The sequence below is a fragment of the Homo sapiens genome, chromosome 1, assembly GCF_000001405.40.
Source record: "Homo sapiens chromosome 1, GRCh38.p14 Primary Assembly".
Taxonomy (NCBI): domain Eukaryota; kingdom Metazoa; phylum Chordata; class Mammalia; order Primates; family Hominidae; genus Homo; species Homo sapiens.
Genome location: NC_000001.11, coordinates 181306805 through 181332411, shown reverse-complemented (window position 1 = coordinate 181332411; position 25607 = coordinate 181306805). Strand labels below are relative to the sequence as shown.

Here is a 25607-nt window from a genome sequence, read left to right as displayed (position 1 = left end):
ACTATGTTTCATTATCTCTTTTTTTTCCAACTTTTATTTTAAGCTCAGGGTAACATGTGCAGGATGTGCAGGTTTGTTACATAGGTAAATGTGTGCCATGGTGGTTTGCTGCACAGATTGTCCCATCACCTAGGTATTAAGCCCAACATCCATTAGCTATTCTTCCTGATGCTCTCCCTTCTCCCACTCCCCAGTCTTCGACAGGCCCCAGTGTGTGTTGCTCCCCTCAATGTGTCCATGTGTTCTCATCGTTCAGCTCCCACTTATAAGTGAGAACACGTAGTATTTGATTTTCTGTTCCTACGTTAGTTTGCTGAGGATAATGGCTTCTAGCTCCATTCATGTCCTTGCAAAGGACATGCTCTTGGTCCTTTTTATGGCTGCATAGTATTCCATAGTGTATATGTACCACATTTTCTTTATCTAGTCTATAATTGATGGGCATTTATGGTATTGATATAAGAACAGACACATAGACCAATGGAACAGAATAGAGAACCCAGAAATAAGACTGCACACCTATAATTATCTGATCTTCGACAAACCTGACAAAAACTAGCAATTGGGAAAGGATTCCCTATTTAATAAATAGTGCTAGGAGAACTGGCTAGCCACATGCAGAAAACTGAAACTGTTTCATTATCTTAATGGTTTGAATGACCTCTACAAATTAGCATCACCCGAGCCCTCACAACTTTACATGCTGTGATGGTTAATATTAGGTGTCAACTTGACTGGATTAAGGAATACCTAGAGAACTGGTAAAGCATTATTTTGGGGTGTGTCTTAACGGTGTTTCCAAAGGAGACTGGCGTGTGAGTCTGAGTGGAATAGGTGGGGAAAGCGTACCTTTAATGAGGTCAGGCACCATCCAATTAGCTGAAGGCTTGTATAGAACAAAAACAGAGGAAAGACCCTCTCCTGGAGCTGGGATACACTCTTCCTCCCCTCTCCTTGGACATCAGAACTCAGGGCTCTCCACTCTTTGGATTCCAGGACTTATACCAGCCACCGTCCTTCCAGGTTCTTAGGCCTTTGGACTGAGCCATGTTACTGGCATCTCAGGGTTCCCAGCTTACAAATGGCCTGTGATGGGCCTTCTCAGCCTCCGTAATCACGTAAGCCAGTTCCCCTAATAAATCCCCTAAAATAGGTAGATAGAAAGATATTGTCTATCTATCTATCTATCTATCTATCTCCTATTGATTCTCTCTCTGGGGAACCCTAACTAATACACTTCCCCACCACAGCCATGCCTGAAAGGATATGAGATCCAAGGCAATCTGCACCGTCTGCCTCCCACAAATACTTTATATGCTTGTTTAATCTACTTTTATTGGGCTTGAGGCTCTGAGATGCCATAAGACAGCAGATTAAGAGGGCCAGCCACAGGTACTATGGTGGTGCCCAGCTAGAGCTCTGCTTGCCACCCTGCCCTCCTCCCTTCCCACAAGAGCTCAGTACAATCCCTTGCTCTCAAACAAGCCCAGATCATCTCTAGCTAATATTTGTTGATTGTTTCTACTGATTCAATCTTTACACAAATCCTGTGAGGTTAGGTACTATTCCTACATACATCAAGGAAACTGAGACTCAAAGAAAATAAGTCACTGTATGGAGCCACTTAGCTAATAATTGGGAGAGCTAGGACCCAGTCTGAAATTTGTTCCTGTGAGCCCTGCCCTGCAGCACTGACTCCCTGGCTGCTTAGCTCTTGCTTTTCTGACACTACGTTGGACTCACCTGCCAATAGGAAATTCTGTCACAGGGACTTGGGCAGCTTTATGTTTCAGCAACAGAATTTCAGCAATGATTTCTCAGGTGCCAGCAGGCCTTGCCCCACCCAAGGGGGACAGAACATGACAGAATCTGGGGTCGGAGTTGTGGCAGCCACACACGGAACTCGGGCTGTGTTTGCCCCGTTCCCCAGGCACCTTCCCCAGGCTGACCCTCTGGCACTCTCCTCCACTTATGCCCAGCACAGCCAGCATCACCAAGACCCCTGTTTTGACATTTCTGAGGTGCTTCAGCCTATGGTTTCAGCCATAAGAAACTGGAGGCAGGCAGAGAAGAAGGGGAGAGGGGGCTGGGGGGAGGTGGCCATGGCAGGGAGGGGTGGTGGTGAAAGCCAGAGGAAGCAGGAATCAGAGCGAAATCAGGGTGCCGGGATGCCTTCATAGGTCAGGGGTGAGCTCAGGAAGGGGCCTCAGCTTCTCTGTCCAATCCAGGAACAGCTGATCAGCCCAATTCCTTTGAGACCCTGGGTCTTCAGTATGACAATATCCCCAAAATGAGGGCACAGAGAGCATGAGGCTGGTAAGGCAGCAAGGAATGTGCAGGGAGAAACAATGCTACGTCTTAGCTCACATGCTCAGAACCAGAGCAGCTTCAGTTCCTCCTGAGTCAGGGACTGGGAGGGGCAAATCCCTGCAAGACCCATTCTCCCCTACTCCCCTCCACTCCCTTGGACCTGTATCCATTCAACCAACAGTGATTGATATGCTGCTATATACCAAGCACTGTGCTGGGCTCTGAGACACAGCCATGAACAATGCAAACACAGTCCCAATCCTTAGGGAACTTTCTGCCTGGGAGACACAGATGCTAAACTAACAAGTAACTAAGTATACATACATGAACTGGGATGGGAGCTATAAAACTGTAGGATGCTATAAGAGAGTGTCATAGGGGAACATAAATTAGATGGGCTAGGGTGAGGGGTGGCAGTTGTCTGTGAGACAGAAGATCTCACTGAAGAAATGACAGTTAAATCAAGAACTGAACAATGAATAGGCACTAACCAGGTGAATGGGGAGTGAGAGGATGGGAGATTATGGGGAGAGGGAACAGCATGTGCAAAGGCCTGCAGTGAGAAAGAGTGTGGCGTGTTTTAAAAGAGACCAGAGTAGCTGGAAGCTGGTGGGTGATAGAGAGCAAAGTAGGCATTGAAGCTGTGGTGGGGTAGGGGCTGGAGCATGCAGGGCACAGAGACCATGGCTAAGATCTTGGAGTTCAAGCTGAAAAGTGGTATAATCATGTTTATGCTTCAAGATCATGCAGGCTTCCTTGTGGAGCTTGGAGCTCCACAAGGGGACCAGAGAGGAAGTGGAGAGATTGGTTAGGAGGCTGTTGTGGTTGTCCAAGGGAGAGATGAAGATGGTTTGGTCTTGGTAATGGCAGCAGAGCTGGAGAGAAGAAGACAAGGTCGAGACATATTGAGGGATAAGGTGGACAGGCTTTCATAATGGATCACCTACAGGAATACAGAGATGCAAGTATCAACAATGACTCCTGGACTTGCGGGTGGATGAAGACGCCACTCACCAAGACAAAGAAAGCTGGAGGAAAAACAGATTTGGAGGCAGAGATTAAGAGTTCACTGTGAGATGCCTCTGAGACCACCCAGTGGAAAGATTAAGAAAGCCATTGACTATAGAGGTCTAGAGCTTAGGAGAGAGGTCTGAGCTGGAAGTATAAATTTGGGAGTTGTGATAAATTCTTTGAGTAATGACACTATGGTGGCTGTGAGAATGTGCCTAGCAGACCTCTAGGAGTCACAGGACTCCCTTGATAGCCAACTTTGGCGTGAGGGCCTCCCAAAAGCCTTGCAATCCTCAGATTGCACAGCAGGCAGGGACCCTTGAACTCAACTTACCTTCCCTCAATCTGTCACTCAGGGTTAGACTTGCATGGTGGTCTGATGGCTTTTCTAGCCTTTCCCAACTCCTTCCCCATTACTCTCATCACTTTTCTCCTAATAAAAATCCATGTACATTTCACCCCATCTTGGTGGCTACTTCTCAGAGGACCCAGGCTAACACAAATCCCAATTTGTTCACATTTTCCTATATCCACGCCTTGGGTAGTCACTTCCTATACTGAATCTAGCTTGGCCATGTGACTTGCTTTAGGCAATGGAACAGTAGGAAATGTGACACAAGCAGAGAACTGAAAAAGGCTTGCTCACTGGGGCTTGCCCTCTCTCCTTGCTATTGTCTGAATGTTTGTATCCTCCCCAAATTCATATGTGGAAAGCTATTCACCATTGTAATGGTATTAGAAGGTGGGGCCTTTAGGAGGTGATTAGGTCATGAGGGTGGAGACCTCATGAATGGGATTAGTGCCCTTACAAAAGAGGCCCCAGAGAGCTCCTTACCTTTCCACCATGTGAGGACACAGCGAGAAGGCACCACCTATGAACCAGGAAACAGGCCCTTACCACGACTAAATCTGCCAGCACCTTGATATCAGACTTCCCAGCCTCCAGAACTGTGAACATCAAATTTCTGCTATTTAAGAGCCACCCAGCCTACAGTGTTGTGTTACAGCAGCTCAAACAAAGACACTTGCTTCTGAAACCTTCTGCAACTATGTGAAGACACCTGGGCTGGCCTCTCTGAGGACGTGAAATCGTGAAGAGAGAGGCTCCAGCATCCCAGCTGTCCCCCTGCCCCTGCCTCAGCTGATGACCCATAGATGTCAGTGAGGCCAAACCAGACCATCCAACTCCAGCCAGGCCAGCCTAGGACAAAGGAACCACCAGCCAACCCACAGAATTGTGAGAAATGCTAACTGTTGTTTTAGGCCTCTGAGATCGGAGGTGATTTATTATGCAGCAAAAGCTAACTGCTACAGGAGTGTGGGGCATAAAGATGATATTCAAAGCCATGGGACTCAGCTGGTCTGATCATGGATTTGTAGGTCCTGCCCTCATTCTCCCAACCCAGAACCTTTCCTAGAGTTCTTGCCATTAGCCAAAGCTCTTTCTGAACATTTATTTAGCACTTAACTGTGTTCTAGACAATATATTGAGGAGCTGTGGGTATACAGTGATAACTGAAATACAGTCTTCACCCTGGGGGGAAAGATGGGGGTTGGGGAGATCAGAGAAAACTCTTCTTTGATTTTCTATAAATTACAAATTGTTGGATATAAAGTTGGCAGGAATATGAAATCTGCCTGGATTCTTCCACTTCAGCTTCATGGCAACACTTTCTACACAGATATATATATACCACATACACACTCCGTAGTATTACTGCCTTCCGTCAACTCCCTGCTTTCTCTGAGAGGAGTTGGTGGGTACTCACTGTCACTTCAAAGTCAAGTGTTAAGGATCTTGTCAAAGTCATAGTTGGCGAGCACAATGACCCCATCATAGGGGAGATTGTACTGCAACAAAGGGAAGGAGAATCAGGATTTGCCAAAGGTTCCAGAGTAGCATCTTTACTTGTTTATATATTCAGTAAACTTATCAGTCACCTAAGGGCAAAGCATTGGAGACACATAGATAAAAGACACAATCCTCGCCATCAAGGATCTCAGCCTAGGAGAGGCTGACGGTTACAACACTACCTAAGGAGCACAGTGTCAGAGGTAAGCATGGGATGCCAAGGGAGTGCAAAGGAGAAGAACCCAGGACAGCCCAAAGGGATTGAGGAATCAGGATGAGCAACTGAGAGCCAGGCCCACGTGGGGTGGGTGAGGGCAGGTCAGGTGATGAACGTCAGGGCAAAAGGGAGGAACAAGAGTCACAAATGACTCCCAGATTTCTGTCTCGGGCAACAGGACGGAGGGCGGTACCATTTGCTGAAAGAGGCCATGTGAGAGGAGGACAAGATTTGGGAAATGAAGATGGGTTAGGTTTTAGACAAGGTGAGTTTGAGACACTATGATGTGCTGAAGTATAAACATCTAGTATTCAGTTGGAGAGAAATCTCAAACTCAAAAGAGAATCCTAGGTTAGAACAGAAATTTGGAAGTCACCAGCATACGAGCGGTGGCCAAGGCAAAGGGAGGGATGTGTGGACCATAAATAGCTGAAAGGGCCAGGGTGGACTGGGAAGCACCTGTGTTTAAGGATCAGTCACTCAGTCCCATCTGGAGGAGGAACTCAGCCAGAGCTAACCACAGGAGAAACTGCCAAGCAGTGGGAGCACCCATGAGACACCATAAGGTATCCAGGCCTCCTTCTCAGGGCTGTTCCGCTCTCCTCTCAGCAGTCTATTGTGAATGGCCAGGACAGGAATTAGCACTAAGAGCACCAAGATGTTACTGATTAGTAACAGATATCGTCAGAAATATTTGCATTTTAATTAGGGGTCCAAACCTCACAATAATTCTGGTTTCGAAGTCAAGACTGGATTCAAACTCAGGATCTACCACCTACTATGATCTCGGGTTCTGCAGGCCTTTCTGCTCATCTATAAAACAAGAATGACAATTCCTGTACCTCAAAAAGCTGTACATACAATATAACTAGTTTCTGGGGAGTTGTTAAACGACTTAGCATATGAAAAAATCGGAAATGAGGCGCTGGGGAAGGAGCTGGGATTGGCAGCGGCCTGGGTGTGGACAAATCCTCCAAGATTTAACTTCCAAGGAAACCGGCGGCGGAGCGGGTGGAGGAGGCGAGGATGTGTGGCCAGTGCACGCGGAGTGCAAGGCCGTCTAGTTGGGAGCCGCAAGAGCCTGCCTGGTGTGGCAGGCACACAGAACCCAATCCCTGTCTGTCCCCTGCGGCCTGGGAGGGGAGCGCCGGCCTCACCAGAGGAAGGAACAGGAAGGGAGGAGTTCCGAGAGGAAATAATTAGTGAAATATTTGCAGAAGATGCTGGGATGTGGATTTAATTCCGGATGGACAGTGGTGCTTCTGATTCCCTCAGTCTGTTTCCCCACCCACGATCTCCTATTTCCTTGGCCTAGACACACCAAAAATAATTCAATAAAATAAAAATAAAAATTTAAAAATAAATAAATAAATAAATAAAAATAAAAAACTAGTTTCTGGCACATGCTGGATGCTCCACACTCAGTTATCCTTCTAACAGGGGTTCCCAAACTAACGTGCATGAGACTCCCCTGGAGGGCTTGGCCCCGCCCCTAGAGTTTCTGATCCAGGATGTCTGGGACTGGGCATGAGAATTTGAATGCCTAAGAAGTTCTCGAGGGTGCTATGTGGCTGGTCCGGGAACCACACCTTGGGACAGGATGTTCTTCCTAAGGACCCCTCCCATGTGAGTGAATAAACACTCCATGTACCCCCAGACTGGTCTTGTGGCCCTGGGGAAGGGCCGTGAGGTCTGAGCTCTAGGGTCTAAGGGCAGGAAGCATGATAAACCCAAAGGGAAGTGAGGGGCAGGGACACACACACAGCCTTCTCCCTCAGCTGTCACACAAGATGTCTCAAAGGCTAGAAGTTGAGTGATTCACACCTCCGTGTTTGAACAACTGTGACTCACAGCTCTGGGTGCAGGAGGTGGGCTGTGTTGACTCAACTCTTCCGGCAGGCAGGTAGCAGGGAGAAGGGGAGCAGGTCTGCAAAGTCTCAGTCAGCAGTCCGCAGAGTGGACTGAGAGCCCCTCTGAGCACGATGGGCTGGAGAGAAGAGAGAGCTGTGGCAGCACTGGAGGAAGGCAAAGGCTATGAAGTCTGCATCCTGTGCAGCATGGGAAGAACAGCCACCCTCCCAGATGCAGGAGATGGAAGGAGGCCTGGACGTCTCTTCCCAATTCCTGCTAAGCTAACCTCTGTCCGCTCTGGGTTAAGAAGACCCTGAAAAGCAAGAAGAGCAACCTGGAACTTACTCAAGAACACTACTCCCTCAGTATTGCCTGTCCCTCTCCATCCCTCTGTACCCTGTAAACCCAGGGAACCTCCACTCTCCCGGGGCTTCATGGATGCAAACCTCCAGGAAAGCCCAGTAGTGGCAACAGTGGAAGGAACAGGATCTTCCTTCCACAAAGGCCTGTCCTAGGCATCATCTAATTTATTTCTTAAACATTTCCTTTGAACTCCCGATTTACATTTATAATTTAATTCATCCTACATTCAGTACTATGCTAGGTACTGAAACTGCAAATATTAATTAATCACAATGCTCAACCTCAGAGAATTTTGCTCAATGAGATATAAAATGTGCTGCATTCATTTCATAGTCTCAAACACTTCTGCATACAATTTAACTTATTCCTCATAATAGCCATAGAGAATCTGTGATATAGATCCTATTTCATTTTTATCATTCTGATCTTCGGCTTAAATATCACCTCCTCAGAAGCCTTCCCTGATGTTGCTATCTAAAGTGTGACCCTGTTACTGCCACATCACCCTCTATTAATTCTCCAAATGCCATTCATTACGGTCTGATTTTTTTTCTAAATCTACTTATCTATGTATGGTTTCTCTCTTCCTACAATATAATATAAATTCCACAACAGTATGATATCTGGCTGTCTCGTTCATTGCTCTATTCCCAGTATCCTAGTCAGTGCCTGGCCCAGAACAGGACCTCAGGACACATTTTCAGAAAGAGGGAAGAGGGGAAAGGTGAGTAGAAGAAAGGAAAGGGAAAGCAGGGAGAACTTAAGTGATTTTTCACCCAGTGACAGAACTGAGCTCACATAAGGGGCTTTGCCCCCCAAGCCCAGGCTCCTTCCTCTCCAGTCATCATGGGAGCTGCTCTGGACCAGGGCTCAGGTTCTGAGGTTGGAAGGCTGGCTTTCCTTGCCTGGATGAACCTAGGACTCTCAGACTTCAGCACCGAATAGCTCATTAACCCAGAGTCTGAGATCCAACAAAAAAAGAAGGCGGAAGTTGGATGTGTGTTTACCTGTCATTATGAATCCCTCACTAAGGAAAGGGTGGAACTTTTTTGTATTTAGGATCATTACTTTCAAGAAAACATCAATCAAGGACTAAATAAGTCAAGAGTAACTCAATTTACCTTCTTTTCAGAAGCAGAAATATAAAATGTTCCTCACAGCTTTTTAAATTAAGAACAAAGAATAAAATTCCTATTCAGTAAATATAGCAAACAAAAAAATCCTATTGTATGACTAGTAAAGGGTAAGAGAGGGAGAAAGATAATAGAAGAAGAGAGAGAAGGGAAGGGAGACAGAATCATATGACAGTCAATGATCCTAACATGGGAAGGGGCCTCAAGTGGCCATTGGCTCCAGTTCCCCTTCTCTGAAAGACAGTTCTGTGCCTGTGTATTAATAAGTGGAGACCCAGCAGGTTTAAGTGCTTTTCTTGTGGTCATATAGCTAGTATGGATTGGAACAAGACCAGATCCACTATGCCAGCGTCAGAGAATATATAATTTGATAAAAGAAATACTTTATTAAAGTACTGGACTTAGAGCTAGAAACCAATCACTTAAGAGAAAGAACCATGCATCTTTATTTTCTCATTCCTTCTGGAAAAAGCACATGTACACATTTGGTTCATGAGAAAGGGGAAGGAACCCCAAAAGGCACTTAAGAGAGGCATACACACAGATACTCTCTGCAAGACAGCAAGGCACAGAGAACTACTTTGATACCAAGTTGCATTTTTGCAACTACAGTGATATTTTCATCAATAAGAGGTGTGGCCATCGGTGCAGCCCTAGATTTTTTTACCCAGGTTAGAAATTATATGAAAACTCACAGGGACGGATGCACTCCCGTGCCATACGCAGTTGTGCCCAAGACAGCATCACACCTTCATCCTGGTGCTCCCAGGGGCTGTGCCCTCCCTCAGCCCCATTCAGCTGCTGCTGTCACTACCAATCCTGTACTGAGAATCTAGAGCACTCTCTCTTCACCCCAAGCCCAGACTAGTGTTTATGGAGGAAATTTTATTTTTCAACTGTCATCCACATAGTTACAAAGGCCCTGTGATTCAGAGACTGAATCTGCCACAGCAATAACACATGAACATAAACGGGAAGGCCTTTCCTTGGAGGAGCCCCATTCTATAACCTCATTCAGTGCAGTTACCCCCAAGTCCATGCATGTATTGCAGACAATAGAACCTTCTTGAATCCTCATGTCAGGGATGAGGATGACATTCATAACACCAGTTTTCCAGGTTACAATGAGAAAGGTACCACACATCTTCGCTTCTGCCAGGAAGGTACTTTATTTGCACATAAACAACTCTAACTATTTGTTACAACTGTTTGTAAAAATGGTTTTGCAAGGGGCTTTTTGGTTCTGAATGGCTTTATAGTTTGTAACATGTATACTTGGTCCAATGGCCTAGTTCCAGGCTCTCCCCACACTGTCAGCACCAGGAGGACAAAGACCATGTCTCTCCTTCTCCCTTTGTCCTATCTCTCACCCCCACCCTCTTCCCCCACTGCTCAGATAATCATTCAGGGCATATTGTAGATGGTTGTTAGTATACTATTGTATTTCCTGCTTTTCCCAATTCTCCCTCACTTGTTGGGAATGCAAAGTAATATATGCCAGCATCTCATCTACTCATCCCTGACCAGCTGAGCTACCCAATTTTTCCAGACCAGAACTGGGCTGAGGCCTGCCTATAGGAGACCAAGGGCAGTCGCTGCTCCACCCAGAAGGTTTCTTCCATGGCCCTCCATCTAACTCCTGTCCATAAGCCCCATCTGCCCCGCCTACCCTCCCCCAGTAGAAGGGAAGAGAAAAGGCGTGGTTCTGCCTCAGATTTACAGAGCACAGAGCAGAAAGCCACCCTGAATTGTGGGACTGCTGAAGCTAGAAAATATCCCAACCTTCATTTTCAGACAAGTTAAATGAGGCCCAACTAGGTTACCGATTTGCACAAGGTCACATGGCTTCTTAGAGAGGCTGAGTTGGGTAGAAATGAAGTCTCCCACGCAGTACTCTTTAACTACCCTATCCTGACCCAATCTCCGTCCTGCCTCCTTTCCCCCCAGCCATGCTGTTCTTGGTCTGGTAAATTATTGTGCTGCAGGGTAAGTGGGAATGACAATGCCTAGAATTATCTACATGAGCCTCTATTTTTGCCTTTATGATAGAGAGGATCTGAGGGACCCAACCAACACACTATCAACTAGTGATGGTCTGGTTCCCCTACTAGTCTACAGAACTATTTCTGGGGAAGCCAAGGAGTGAGAAGGCCTTTTCCAATCTAGGCCATGGTCAGTCTCTGAGACAACTGGATTCACCTGACTATGATCCTGAGAGAAGCAGGCATCAATAACTAAGGTGCAGACAAACCCTGAAAATCAGATGGTGACATGCGCTCTGCCTTTCCATTAGACAATTCCACCACCCCAGGTAGGATTCATGAGCTCACTGGACTGGGATCCAGAGGTGAGATCCCTGTGGTGAGATCTAGGTTGCCAGGCAAAAAGTGGAAGACACACAAAGTTTGGTTGTTCATCCCTTCCAAATCTCATGCTGAAATGTGACCCCCAGTGTTGGAGTTGGGGACCTAGTGAGAGGTGTTTGGGTCATGGGGGCTGATCCCTCATGAATGGCTTGGCACCGTCCTCGAGGTAATGAATGCATTCTCTTTCTATTAATTGCCACAAGATCTGGTTGTTAGAAAGAGCCTCCCTCCTCTCTCTCTTGCTTCTCTCTTGCTTCTCCCTCATCTTGTGATCTGCACACACCAGCTCCCCTTCCCTTTCCACAAAGAGTGAAAGCTTCCTGAAGCCTTCACCAGAAACGGATGTTGGCACCATGCTTCTTGTACAGCCTGCAGAGCCATAACCCAAATAAACCTCTTTTTTTAAAATAAATTATCCAGCCTCAGGTATTCCTTTATGGCAAAGCAAAATGGACTAAGACGGACACCAAGCAAGGACACTGCTGACAGAAAAAACGGGGGTAACATGAGTTAAGGACCAGTCAGGATGGCCGAGCAGACTGGCCAATCTACCCCACTCTGGAACCAGCCATCACCCCCCCGGCTGAGCAGCTGGGACTAACTCTGTGAGTCAGATGCCATCAACTTCAGCACAAAGGGTCAACCTCGTGTGCAGGGAGTCAGCTAGCCTGGGTTCAAATCCCAGCTCTGCCTCCTACTAGCTGGGTGAACTTGAGAAAGTTAGTTAACTTTTCTGAGCATCAGTTTCCTCATCTATAAAATGGGGATACCTACTTAATAGGATTGGTTAACAATTAATTATGAAAATGCCTGGAAGCTGCTTGGTATAATATTTGGAAAATATAGCAATAAGCAATCAATCAATGGTAACTACACTTTTTGAGGCCCTGCAGGAACTTAGCTGTCTGGCAGATTTATGGGCTGCAAGGGGGATGGAGGTGTGACTGACACATCCGTAAGAGTCCTCATCACTCCCTCACACAAGCAAGGAAGTAAAAAACAGACATTTCTCCACAATAGGATGCTTCTTGAACATGAGTTTCTCAGTTTGAAATCCAGACATGTAGGATTTTTTTTCCTCTTCCTTCTCTCTCACACTCAACACACACATCCTAGCCTTCAAGGAGTGGAGGCGCTGTGACAGCGATGATCCGATAGCTCAACCATGTGACTCTGTGGGTCACTGTATATCATGCTACCATCACCACAACACTCACAATTCCTGGCAGAAGGACAGCCTCCTGGGAGTCCCAGACTCATAAATACAACCAAGAAGACAGAGGAATAGATGTAAATCACTCTCAGTTTGTCATCCCTGCAGAGTTAGAGCATGAAGCTCCACTCCAGGAATGGGCATTTCAGAGGGACTCATGTAATTGGAGAAAAAGGTGTTCATCAAAGGACAGAGATTTGTATTTGAGAGCTGGATTTTCAGAGGGAACTGAAATAAAGCCCATTAGAAATCTGAGTCAGGAAAAACGATGCAAGATCCAAATGACATGAAACCAACACATGTTGCCTCTTGAATTATCCCTACCTCTAACCTAGCATAAATACAGTCACTCTTAGGGCAATCATTTATCTCTATCTGCATGGGAGTCTTCATTGGCCATGTGTAATTATTACCAACATCTCTGTCCACTCTCAGAAATGTCCCAGCTTGGACAATCAGTCAATCATAAATGATATGATTACACTATACTACAAAGTGGTAAAAAACTTCTTAGCTGGTCAGAAACTTAGCATGTGAGAGAACAGTAGAATGGAATCAAACAACAAGAAATGGTCATCTTAGTTTAGATGGTAGAAATCGCTGCACCATCCTACAAGACCCACGTATTTACAGTGGAAGTTCTATATCCCATTAGCAATTTATCTTGGAATTGCAAATGGGAAGTTTTTTCCTGGTGTCTAGCCCAAATCCCAACCCCAGGAGAGAAAGCCCCTTTTCCTCTGGTTCTGACCTCAGTGGAGATAAAGTAATGCCCTTATTTAAGCATCAGAAACATCCTTTCCTTGCAGGAAAACACTTCTCTGAGTTCAGCCTGCTCTGTGGATTAAGCTTATCCTGACTCCCAGCCTTTCCTCTATGACACAGTGTGATTCTCAGCCAAGAGTAAGTATGCATCAATGTTCCAACACGGTGAACCATTACGACAAGCCCCCAGATCTCTGCACGCACCCACAGCCTGAATCATCTGCTCTGAGCAGCCAGACTCACAGACACGACTGCAGCAAGTGACCTCAGTCCTCTGCGCAAGGAGGAAGCCGCGATCTCAAGGGAGACGTCGGTGGGTTAGTGTCTCCCATTATTCTCTCCAAGACATGGGCACAAAGCAAAAAAGCACAGAAAACTGGATGTTCCATCCCTGGGAAAGGACGCACAACCACTCTCGCACAAGGAGACTCAAGCCGGATCAAAAAGCAAGTCACCCTATGCAGCCTGGCTTCCTCTGTGCTCTTTCCTCCCCTACTTCGAGCCCCAATTCCCAGTCCTGTCCCAGGAAAGGACCCACCCTACTCGCTCTGACCCGCAACTCCATAGACACCCAGTCCACCCTACAGCAGTCCCGAGTCGCCTCCAAAGGCACATGCAGTTTCCTTCACGGAAACTTCGCTGCAAGCTCAGCCACTGGCCCGCGCGCCCTCCCCACCAGCGATCCGCGCACAAAACTTCCCGAAGCCGGGGACCTGCTGAGCCGCCCGCGCCCGGAGGCATGGAAGGGCGGCCAGAGGCCCCAAGGCTTGCGAAAACCCAGCGGCTCGAGCCTGCTCCCTTCTCGGAGCCTGGCTCCGCTCCCCGGCGGCGCGTGAGTCCCCCTCACTGCTTGGTGAGAACCCTGCATCCTCGAGCGGGATGCTGCCCTGAGCGCTGCGGCAAGGGGCGCAACACTCACACCCTAAGTGCCAAAGAGCGCGGGGGCGTTTCCCACGCCAGGACAATTCCCACAGAAGTTGCAAAGGAACGGACAGAGCGTGCAGAGGAGGAACAGGCAGCGCGTGCAGAGGAGATTCCGAGAAGGTTAGGGCCAACTACGGATCTCCAAGGTCCATGCATCCCCCCAACACGTAGAAGCGCGGGGGCCAGACCCGTGGCGCCGCCGGGGAGTGCAGCGCAGCCCCGCAGGCAGTGCATGCGGGGCGCAAGACAGACACATCTCTGGCAGTAAAAACCCGGGGCTTACCTTGAATTAATGCAGAGTCCCGCGCTCAGCTGAATGAAGAGGGTGTGCTAGTATTCCCGAGACATCACTGAATTATTTTAAAAGGGGAAAGGGGTGGGGATGGGAGGGCGAAGACGGGGGAGGAGAAATGGTGAAATTGAAGGGGGAAGAAGGAGGAATCCACAGAAAGAATGGGGAAGGAAGGCAGGCGGAGGTGAGGGCCACAAATGGAGAACAAAATAAATAAAAGAGAAGAGAGACAATTTAAAAAAATCTGTCTCTTGCTCACACAGTGGAAAAGAAATTTCTGGCAATCAGAAAGAGAACTCGCATACATGCCCACCACCCGAGAGGGCAGACCAGGGACTAACAAAGGAGGAGGGAAGAGAGCTATATCCAGACAGCAGAAGATAGCGCTGTCCAGACACGGGCGGCACGCGCGAGGCGGCAAGGGAGCGGCGGGAGGGTGGGAGCTGAACGCCGGCGTGAGCGCGCGTACACCCGGGGCTGGGGGCGGCGGGCGGGGGGAGGGGGGCACCACGAGGCTTCATTTAGGCGGGGATTTGTGTTGTAAACAGCCTGAGGTCAAGAATTTAGGTCAGGGTTTCTGTGGAAAAGTTCAATAACCTCAAACTTCCGCGGGCGATTTCCACTGGAGTACCCGATTCTCGTTTGCGGGCGGGATGGCCCCTTCCTGGGCTCCAGCTCTGGACCTCACCAGGGTCCTGGCCGCTGGCCTTACTGGGCAGGGAGAGGAAAAACATGATTACATCTAAAAAGAAACAAGAGAACTGGGGGCTTCAAGGATCAAGTTAAGGGGGAAGGAGAGGTGTAGGGGACCAGCCCCTGAGCCAGACTCTTCCCAAGGGAAGCCCCAGCCCGATGCAGAGCCTGTTCGCTGCCTGTGGACTGATCCAGAGGCTCTCTGAAGGTCTCCAGGAGCTAGCTGGGGGCTCTAAGGGAGACCCTGTTTCCTGTGGGCAGTTAAGGAGCACAAAAAAATCAACAGCCCCAAAACTGAGTCAAACTGGCGTTTCCAAGGCTTCCTAGACCTGAATCCCTCTAGGGTATCCTCTCCCCCATTTCTCTGGCTCTCTGCATATCTTTCCCTCAAAAATAATAGAAATGTCTCCCAGAACCCTGCAGGTAATGACTTTCCGTCCCACCCACCCATCTTTACAAGGCCCAGCAGGGTCCCTAGGGAGGCTTTGGCAGGTGGCTTATGAACAACTGCCTCCTGTCCTCCAGGAGCTCAGAGTCAGAGAAGAGAGGGGCTCCAGAAAAAGAGAGAAGAGGAGGCAGTGGGATTGGAAGGGACAAGAAGAGAAGGGAGTCACAGGGAAGGAGGAGGGAGAGAAAGAGAAGCGTTCTCTCCCTCTCCACTCATTGCTTTGGCTTAGCCTTGGCCCAGGTGGGTCAAGTCCTCAGAAGGCCTCGCTTGAGGGTGGCCAGGGCTGAATGACGACAGCTGGCCCTCCTACTTGGCCATGAGTTTCCATGGCTGAGGGCAGAGCCTGGCACACAGTGGAAACGTGCACTGAAGGGAACTAAATAGCCACCATGCCAACAGCTCCTCTCACCTTTCCTCAGCTGTGGCAGGAAAAGGGTGGCTATGTACCCTCCTTGGCTAGTTCCCAATTTACCCCCAGAAGGTCTGCTTGAGAGGCTCATGCTGTGAGGAGCCAGGACATTGGCCCCAGGGCCAGGTAAGTCCTGAAAATTCTCACCAAGCCTGAAAAGAATTGAGTCAATGAATCAGACTTTCAAAAGCTGGGCTTTAGCCTGACATTAAAAAGAAAAAAAACTGTTCTGGCAGGGCATTAGGAAAAAAATCAGGGCTACACCTCAGTTTTTCAGAGGCTGATAGATTTTTAGAACAGTCTTGGAGGTCTGGTTTCCCATATCAAAAGGTTGTTTGGTTGGTTGGTTTTTCTGTTCAAGCATAAGAGTGCAGTGGGGGCCTCTCCTGAGCCCTTGAGAAGAGCCTGGCCGTAGGATTCAAACCCCCAGGTCAGAAGCACAACATGGTGAAGGAGAGGAGGAGATTTTCCCCACTTTAAGAAATTACCTCAGAATCTGCTGGAGCTCGGGGGAAGGAGAATAACTCCATGAACCCCAAAATATACTCTTCATGCCCCCACCACTACCCCAACATACACACACACACACACACACACACACACACACACACACACACAGCATAGTTACCAGCCACCCAGGCCTTCTCCCCTCAGCCCGTAGCAGGAGCATTCACTCTACTATGTGTGGGTTTTTTTTGTTTTTAATGAAAAAGTTTAAAGAGCTAGGATACCAGACGGCTGATGGTTTTCCTGGCTTGGAATCTTCTAAAGAGCAGAGTGTCCATACCCGCTCCTCTCCACCGTCAAAACAAACAGCAATTGTACCCACAAACAAGACTATCTCTGACAATGCATTCACACAATTGGGAGCATGGGATGCTCACCAACAAGATGATCCCACAACCCATTCCCTTTACCTATCCATGCAGGGGGCTCAATGCCAGATGCCCAAGTATGATCCCCCGGACATACCTGCCATTTTATTTCTTCCTTCCCTGGCCACAAGTAACAACTACTTAGAACGATATGGTGTCCTTTCAGACATAACAAAAAGATTGGTTTTTGTTCTTGTCCCATTTGAATGAGTTGTGGCTGCTGCTCTAGACAGAGGAGGTAGGGGAACCAGGCTGGGATGCAGGAATTCTTCTCAGCAGCACACAGGGCCTGTCTCCCTCCATCCCTCCACCCGCGCTGGTGCACCTCCCCCCACCCCCAGACCTCTATACATCTAGCAAGGGAAAGAGCCCAGTGCCCAAGATGCCCTCCCTGTCCTCTCGGTTTTCAGCCAGACCTGCAAGAAAGCACCCTGGCTCAGACCTATGCCCCACATGACGCCCCCTAACGGGACTTCATACTGGGACCAGGGCTTCAAAGAAAAGACCCTGGTTTAATAATTCAGCTTGCGCGAATGCTATTTAGTAGCCATGGCAACCAGTTCCCTGACATCTAGTTGTAGGCAAGATGTGGTTGGAAAGGGAAAGAGAAAGTGAGAAAGAGGAAAAGGTAGAGGGGAAAGGAAAAGAAAGAAACCCAGCTGAGTTGTCATCTAAACTTTCCCTGCTTTCACTCCACACCATAATCCTGACAGTGAGACGCCAGTGAATCTCAGCCAGCCGTGCTTTTACCTAGCTTTCTTCCCTCCATCTCTGACTTTGCTCTCGCCCTACGTGTCTCCCTCTGTCTCCTCTTTCTGCAACCCACTGGAAGCTGGAGATCTAGTTTCCTCACTCAGCATTCCAACTAAACACCTTTGGGACTCTGGCAAATTATTTAGCCTTTCTTTGCCTCCATTTTCTTATCTTTAAAATGAGGGGCTTGTGGATGTCTGCTCTGGTTCCCTCTGGCCCTAACAATGCATGATTCTGTGGTCCTCTCTCTGTCTCGCCATCTCCCGACCATCCAGCTTTTCCTCTCTGCCCATCTGTCTCTGTCTCTCCCTCCCTCTGCGTGTTTGTTTGCTTCCTGTACTTCTCCATCTCTCTCTCTCTCCCCCCGAACCCCTCAGTTTTTATCTCTCATGAATACCATTTGCCATGAGGTTTCACCTGTGAAGCAGTTATGTTTCTAACAAATACTTCATTCCCCCTTGCTGGAAAGCATCCCATTACCTCCCTTTACCCAGATAATTCCCCTTCACCCTTTAGATTACTGATCAGACATCAGCTCTTCTAATAAACCTCCCTGCTCCCCAAAACAGGGCTAGTGCCCCTCTTAGAAGCTCCCATAGTGTCCTGGGTTAACCCCTATTGGATCTTATCTCACTGTATAGTACTATAACTGCCTTTTTATTTGTTGGCACTTTGACTAGCGTGTGAGCTCACTAAGGGCAAAAAGAGTGCCTTCTTCATTGCCGTATCTCCAGAATCTACCATTTGGAATGAACTTAAAAAGTAGATATATGAAAATGTAAATAAACTAAAGCCACAGGTTTCTGAATCATTGCTTGTTAAACACTCAAGACATGCCCTGGAAGGAGCACAGGGTAGGAAGCCTGGGCAGGAGCACCCCCCCCCCGTACTATAGCAGAGAGAGGGAAGGAGACCTCCTCCTCCCTGGACTGTTTTGAGGAGGTGGGGGGCCAAGAGCAAGGGTATCTTTCAGACATTCTGGGTGGACAACCCAGCTCCTGAAGGAAATGAGGATGGGCAACAGCAGGAATGGGGAAAGTGATCAATGCCAAGTGGGTGGTTCTCTTCAGCCCATCTCTGGGGTTGCCCTGGTGCCATTTGGGCAAACCTAAAAGGTAACTTTACACATCCAGTGCTAGGAATTCCTTTCATGGTGTCAGAGCTACAAGCAACTGCCTAACATCCAATGTCTCCCAGCCTTTTAGCCTGGCCCTTTCTTCCTGGGAGCAGACGGAGGCTGGGATAGTGCTACCAGAGGCACATGGGCCATGTGGGCAGTGTTTCAAGCCGCTGCTGGGAGATGCCAATGTGGATTTCAGTCATCCAGGAAGCAGCTTGCTTTAAAAACAGAAAATAAAATATTCTTTTGGTAATCATCTTTTTATGGACAAATAAGACCTCTATACTTTAAAAACCCTCAGCTATAAATGTGAATGAAAGGCAAGAATTTAAAAGACAGGGTTTCTTCCCAATGCCTCCTAATGAATTCTCTTTCATTCATACATCACACAAAGCGGGAGGGACAGAGCTGGTAAACACACGTACACATAAGCCCTTATACTTGTGTGCACAGAGCTACCATTAAGTTGAGACAACCTCTAACACAGGGCCAGGTTTTGCATGGTGTGTGCCCCCCCGCCCCATTCATCACTCAGAAACGTAGGAATGCCTATCTGAAGTCCCAGTCTTCATATAGCCACCCCCCCCACACACAAATAATTCTTAATCCAGACGGAGCTGCCTTACACTCAAAGATCTGCCAAGTGACACACAGTCTTCTTGATATTGTGCACATACTGAGTGACATATTTCATTAGCAGATGTTCATGAGTTGTCCCTACCACCCCCTCCCCAAGTGCAACATTCACATATCCCTCATGCAATACGCAGCTAGCCCCAAGCTTAAGAAAAAAGGATGAGGTTTAAAGCAGGAAGCTAGAAAAGAGAAAAAATACAAAAAGACCAGCACATACCCTGAAAAAAGACACTGCTTTGTAAAAATGATACCCCCAAACCTGGATTTACATCCGCATTAGATTGTTTGAGAAGTTCGATATGGATCCACACTGAGTTTCCCCATTCCACAGGAATATAACTCCCAGCCGGTAAAAAATTCAATCCTGTACCCTTTTGTGCAATAGAAACCTGACATGGGAAAAAAATAAGTTAAAAGCCTTCCTACATGCCCAAACCCTGCCACCACATTACCCTCCACTAAACCGAAGTTGCACGTCCTCTCCCACGTTCTAACCATCTTTGAGTGCAGCACCCAAACATTGGGACAAATCTGCACTCTTTCACCACCTCTGAGAACAGAACCGGAAAGCATGGCAGCAAATGCCCATACTAATTCCATGTGATATACACACAACGCAAACTGTCAAGTATCACACAAACACACCCCTCATACACAATAACTGAAACATAGGCATATGCACACATACGCATACATACATACTGCCCTCTTGAGGCATGCGTGTGTGTGTGTGTGTGTGTGTGTGTGTGTGTGTGTGTGTGTTGTGTGTGTATTTTGCTCGGAGACTGGTGATGCTTTGGATTATGAGGTTTCCATGGTTACCTTCTGCAGCGAGAACTGGGGTAATTGAACTCTTGGGGTTCACCATTCAACAGATGCTGCTTGCTCACTCCTGCATGCTCTCTCGCTCACTTGCTTGCTCTGTCTGCAATTCATCACCATCATTTTTAGTTACAGTTTCAAGTCGAGTATATTGTAATAGAGTCGTACCCTTCCTAGGGCTCTGGCTGTACCTTGGAAAGAGATAAAATTCTGAAATGGAAAACTCTGACTTCAACAGATGGGTTACCCTGGAAAAGTCTCAGGCTAATTAAGGTCTAGGAGCAGCCAAGATCATATACACCCATCCCCTCTCCTCTATGCAAGAAAGACAACCACCCTATAATGGGAAAGAAAAACCATATTTACTAATTCATAAGAATCTCCGAGAGAATAAAATCTAAGGGCCCAGACCAGCATAAGCCCACAGGAATGGGGACAGGGCTCCAACACTGGTATCTCCTCTCCACTCCATGTCCCTTCCCAGGGGACCTTTAAATGGTTATTGCCTTAGTCAGTTCAGGCTGCTATAACAAAGTACCATGGACTGGGTGGCTTATAAACAACAGAAATTTATTTCTTACAGCCATGGAGGCTGGAAGTCTAAGAACAGCATGCTAGCAAAGTCAGGCAACCAAGCTTGTCAGCACCTTGATCTCAGACATCTAGCCTCCAGAAGTGTGAGAAAATAAATTTCAATTGTCTAAGCCACCCAATCTGTGGCACTTTGTTATGGTGTCCTGAGACAAAACTGCAGAAGGTACACCAAAGCGAGACCCTGAGGAACGGCTCCCAAGCAGTGCTCCAGGCTAAGGCTCTGGAGTCAGATGCCAGGCTCACTGCCAGAGCAGCCACTAAGCAAACAACACGTGGGTTTGGGCAAGTGATTTAACCTTTCTAGGCCTCGGTTTTCTTGTCTGTATAATGTGGATAATAGCAATACCTTTCTCATAGGGTGATTGCAAGGATTAAAGGAGATGATGCCTGTCAAGAACATAGTACATAGAAAATATTCAATAAACATTATAATAAAAACAAGCCAAGCAATTTTTTAAATGGAGATTTTTTTAAATGGGCTGGAATTGAGTCAGGTGCCTTGGTTGGTCTTGCCTGAAGACAACGAAATAGGGAAGATAACTTCCCATGCACCCTCCTAACACTGCAATTACACAGAAGTCTGAGTACCACCTCCCTACCTTTCAGGGAAGGTTGCAAATTTTAATCCTGAAAATCCACACATATTGACTATTTTAGAAAAAGTAACCATAGTTTTCCAAAACCATCACAGTCTGTGAACTGTTTTGCCACAGGTGCCTTCATGCCTCTCTAACAGCCCACCTGAGGCTTTTCTAGTTTTCATTTTCCCATCCCTGTTTACACATCATTCCTGAGAGATCTCTGACAGGTCTCCACTCTGAGGACAACTGATCTGAATCATTATTTATTCTGTCCCTGTGGGATGTTTAGAGTAAAAGGAGGGGGAAGTGGGAGAGTTCATCTTTGGCACCAGACTAGAACAAGCAGGAATGCATTTCCATTGATCAGGAAGGGATGGTCCTGGACTACAGCAGGCAGTGCTCCCAGCAGCCTCTGCCCGAGCCCCATGGATGCTCTGGTGATGACTCACCAAATGTCCCTTCACTTTCCATTACCTAGGACCACAGGCAGCCTTGTCGGTTGCCCTCCTTGGGCCTTTGATCTGGTTGCTGCTGGGTCTGTTCTGCAATATTTCTATTGTTCTGCCCTCAGGAACCATGGCTGGACACCCAGGCCTATGGTTCTTGGGACTCTGGTCATACCCAGAATTTCATGAGGCTGTATTTGCTTGAGGGAAAGGCCAAGACCAAGGAAATAACATTTAGTTCCACATCTCCAGGGAACGCAGACAATGGTGGTCTGTCTATTCAGAGAGCCTAATGGTACACAACTTGCCAAGGCCCAGAATTCTCAAGCAAAGACCACATGAGTCATCAGAGAAAGAAAGTGGCTCATGCCTGTAATCCCAGTACTTTGGGAGGCCAAGGAAGGCGAATCACAAAGTCAGGAGTTCAAGACCAGCCTGGCCAACATGGTGACACCCCTTCTCTACTAAAAATACAAAAAATTAGCTGGGCGTAGTGGTGGGCACCTGTAATCCCAGCTACTCAGAAGGCTGAGGCAGGAAAATCACTTGAATCCGGGAGGCAGATATCGCAGTGAGCCAAGATCGCACCACTGCACTCCAGCCCAGGCAACAGAGTGACACACCATCTTAAAAAAAAAAAAAAAAAAGGAAAGAAAAGATATTCTCATCCCAAGCCCATGCTGTATCCTAGAGGCAGGTCTAACAGCAGGTACAACTGATTAGACAATGTACTGCTTCCTCAGCATGTGCCAACCCTGTCCTCCCAGGTGGATACCCTAAAAATGTTGTCACACATAGAAAGGTGGCCATTTAGAATCTCTCTCTTTCCAAGTCCAGGGAGATAAGGGACAGAAGAGACAGGGAGAAAACAGAAAACAATAAAGGCACAGAACCTTTGCACAAAGGAAGTCCTCTTCAGTTGTCAAGGTTAAAGACAAGTGCCTCCTTCCTCCTTCACCACACTGAGATATCAATGTCATTGGCATATTTCTGAAGAGCATATTTGGGAAGGAAAAAAGGAAAAGCACATATATTTAGACAGGTGAACCTACCTCCTTCTACACCAGAAGCTGGTAGGTTTTGAGGCACCCATTAGCTTTCTCTTCTCAGAAAACATACTAATAGTCCAACCATCATAAGAGGAAGGTTTGGGCATCTCTCCCATCAAAACCTTGCGTAGTCCCTGACAAGCTCTGCAGGTGTCATTAAGCACTCATATTGGCTTCATTGTTACTTTGCTGGCTTTATTGGGTCCACCATCCTTCCCCATGCATCTGTTATGTTACCCATTTAACAAAAGGTGAGAAAAGAAACCACAGTCTTATTAGCCCCCAGATTGCCCTCATTTTACCTCCTCAGGTGCTGAATCCTACCATTTCCCAGGACTTTTCGTATACAAGCTTGAGTCAGTTTCTACAAAGTGAGCAAACTTCTAGCCTGGCCAAATGGATTTAATTCTGCAAATAAAAATTTCATAAGCATATTTAATCCAAATATTTCAGACCTGAGCTTCCTTCTCTCCTCATCTTTGAGACACACAGGCCTTCATACTAGAATGGATGGCAGGATCTTCACACCCTCTCTGCATATCTGATGCCCCAGGTCTCTCTGAAGATCTGATGACCAAGCCAACATAAAATATATATAACATAAAACTCACCCTTTTAATCATTTTAAAGTATACAATTCGTGGCATTAAGTACATTCACATCGTTCAACCATCACCACCCTCCACCTACAGAACTTCCATCTTCCCCAACAGAAACTCTGTACCTATTAAACCATTACTCCATTCCCCCTGTCCCCAGCCCCTGGCAACCACAATTCCACTTTCTGTCTCTATGGATTTGACTACTCTACGTACCTCATGTTAAGTGGATTCATACAGTATTTTTCATCCCACACATATCCCTTGTGTCTGATTTATTTCACTCACCATAATGTTTTCAAGGTTCATTCATGTTGTAGCATGTGTAAGAATTTCCCTCCTTTTTAAGACTGAATACTAATCCATTGGATGTACATACCACATTTTGCTCATCCAATCATCTTTCAATGAACATTTGGATTGTTTCCACCTTTTGGCCATTGTGAATAATGCTGTAGTGAACATTGAGGTCCTAGTGTCTATATAAGTCCCTGCTTTCCATTCTTTTGGGGATATACCCAGAAGTGGAATTGCTGGGTCATATGGTAATTCCACATTTAACTTTTTGAGGAACTGCCAAACTGTTACCACATTCTCTTTTAAAAGGACCTCATCATGTAGATAAACCTTTCCCAGGGACGATGAATAACAAAAACCTGTCACCAAGAATTCCAAATAGCAGCTGGCCCTGGGGATTGCTTGTCTTAATGTCTTCAGTCCTCCAGCCCTCCCTGTGTCCACACTCTTTGCTGTGTAAAACTGGCAGCTCCTCCCACAAGAAGGCAGGGAACCGTCCCTGGCCTTTGAAGCTGGGCTCAGCCATGTAACTTGCTTTGGCCCAAGGGATGCAGCAGACACGAGAAAGCAGGGGCTTGAGGTGTGCTTGCACATTAGGGCTGTCTCACCTGCCCCTGTGACTCCACCATGGAAGGAACATGCCCAGCTTGGCCCACCAGTCCCAGGAGGAGCAGGAGGGATGCATGAAGAAGAGCTATGCCACCACTGTAGCCTGAAGGAAAGCTGCCCCAGCTCACCTGCTGGTCCCTGAGAATAAATGATCGTTGTTTTAAGCCTCTGAGTTTTGGGGTGGTTTGAGCTGATGGCACAGTAACAGGCCCACTTACTGTTTGTCCTAAATATAGGTGAGAATGAGATTTCTGGAGAATGAGATTGTTTGATAAATGGTAGCAAATTCTCGTTGGCTTCAGGATTTTTTTCTAACTGGAATCTGCCCTCACCTGAATTAAAAGCCGGGCATCCCCTTTGTCTCACAGCTGTCTAGGATTGCCTCGGCGGTCCTCTTGGGCTGTTTTTGGGCTGACGTTGTAATCAAGCTTTGTGAGTACGAAACCCAGCCTGTGAAAGTGCCTTAGCTCTGCATAAAATGGGGCGTACCAAACGGAACCAGAAATCAAGTAGCTCATCATAAAACTGTGATTAGCTGGCCCACTTGCAGTTCCTAAGACAAGCCCTACAACACAGTCATGGCCCGGCAGAGCCATCATCAGCGAAGATCTGATCTCGGCTGAGCAGCTTCTAAAACACAGTTCTGTCTGTCCCCTCCAAATTAACCAGTCTCAGGGGATAGTTCACATAAGCCAAAGTTTCCAGAGACTGAGAAACTAGAATGCCGGTTTATTAATTTACTCAGGGAGTTATTCTTTCCGAGGCCTGAAGTAATGTACTCAAATTCTCCAGCCAGCTTACCTCCTTCCTATCAGTGTATCTGCAAGACCACATGAGTCCTCGGAAGGCTGCTTGGTAAGCACAGAGGCATAACCAGGGAAGGAGGACAGAGTCGGTACAGTCTCTCTGGGCCATGGAAAATCCTAATAAGTGCTCCCACCCAAAAACAGAGCTTACAATTGAACCTTTCCATAATGTAGACATATTTCAAAACATCATGTTGTGCATCACAAATACAATTTGTTAGTTTTTTTAAAAAGACTTTTTTGTAAATAGAGCTCAATTCTAGGGACCAAATATTGTAAGAACTGGCCCTCTAACCAAATCAGTACTGTCTTGATAGAAGTAAAAAATAATAATAATATAATAAATGAGGCACAAAGCATTATACAAACATACCACATTATCATTTTATTATTATTTCTATTATTATATGTTTATAATAGTAAATGTGAGCAGTGCCATGGAGGTGGAAGCATACCAAACTGTGAAGACTCAGATTCTAATCACAATTTTGCTATCAAATTACTGCATGACCTTAGGAAACTGACTACGGCACTCTGGGCCTTGGTTTTCTCATGTGTAAGGTGAGTGAGTTG

The 25607-nt window shown here is 47.0% G+C and overlaps 1 protein-coding gene and 1 long non-coding RNA gene across 11 annotated transcripts in view, besides 2 other annotated features; both read right to left on the bottom strand.

The window, feature by feature from the left end:
- Positions 1-14713, bottom strand: part of CACNA1E (calcium voltage-gated channel subunit alpha1 E) — a 490386-nt gene extending 475673 nt beyond the window's left edge. For all 10 annotated transcript variants that reach the window (XM_017002244.2, XM_017002243.2, XM_017002249.2 and 7 more), the window contains exon 1: positions 14289-14713. The gene's annotated coding sequence lies outside the window, so the exon portion shown is untranslated. The remainder of the gene's footprint in view (positions 1-14288) is intronic.
- Positions 13383-14013: an enhancer, noted in NCBI's record as "H3K4me1 hESC enhancer chr1:181287535-181288165 (GRCh37/hg19 assembly coordinates)". NCBI's record gives its function as "activates a minimal SCP1, AML or CMV promoter by ChIP-STARR-seq in naive H9 embryonic stem cells {active_cell/tissue: H9 hESC(naive)}" and the evidence as "EXISTENCE:reporter gene assay evidence [ECO:0000049][PMID:30033119]".
- LOC107985454 (uncharacterized) lies at positions 20084-23199 on the bottom strand. The gene is made up of 3 exons (XR_001737809.1): positions 23026-23199; positions 22568-22664; positions 20084-20156 (listed from the first exon to the last, which is right to left on the bottom strand). It is a non-coding gene; the product is annotated as an uncharacterized LOC107985454 (long non-coding RNA).
- Positions 23691-24191: an enhancer, noted in NCBI's record as "H3K4me1 hESC enhancer chr1:181277357-181277857 (GRCh37/hg19 assembly coordinates)". NCBI's record gives its function as "activates a minimal SCP1, AML or CMV promoter by ChIP-STARR-seq in primed H9 embryonic stem cells {active_cell/tissue: H9 hESC(primed)}" and the evidence as "EXISTENCE:reporter gene assay evidence [ECO:0000049][PMID:30033119]".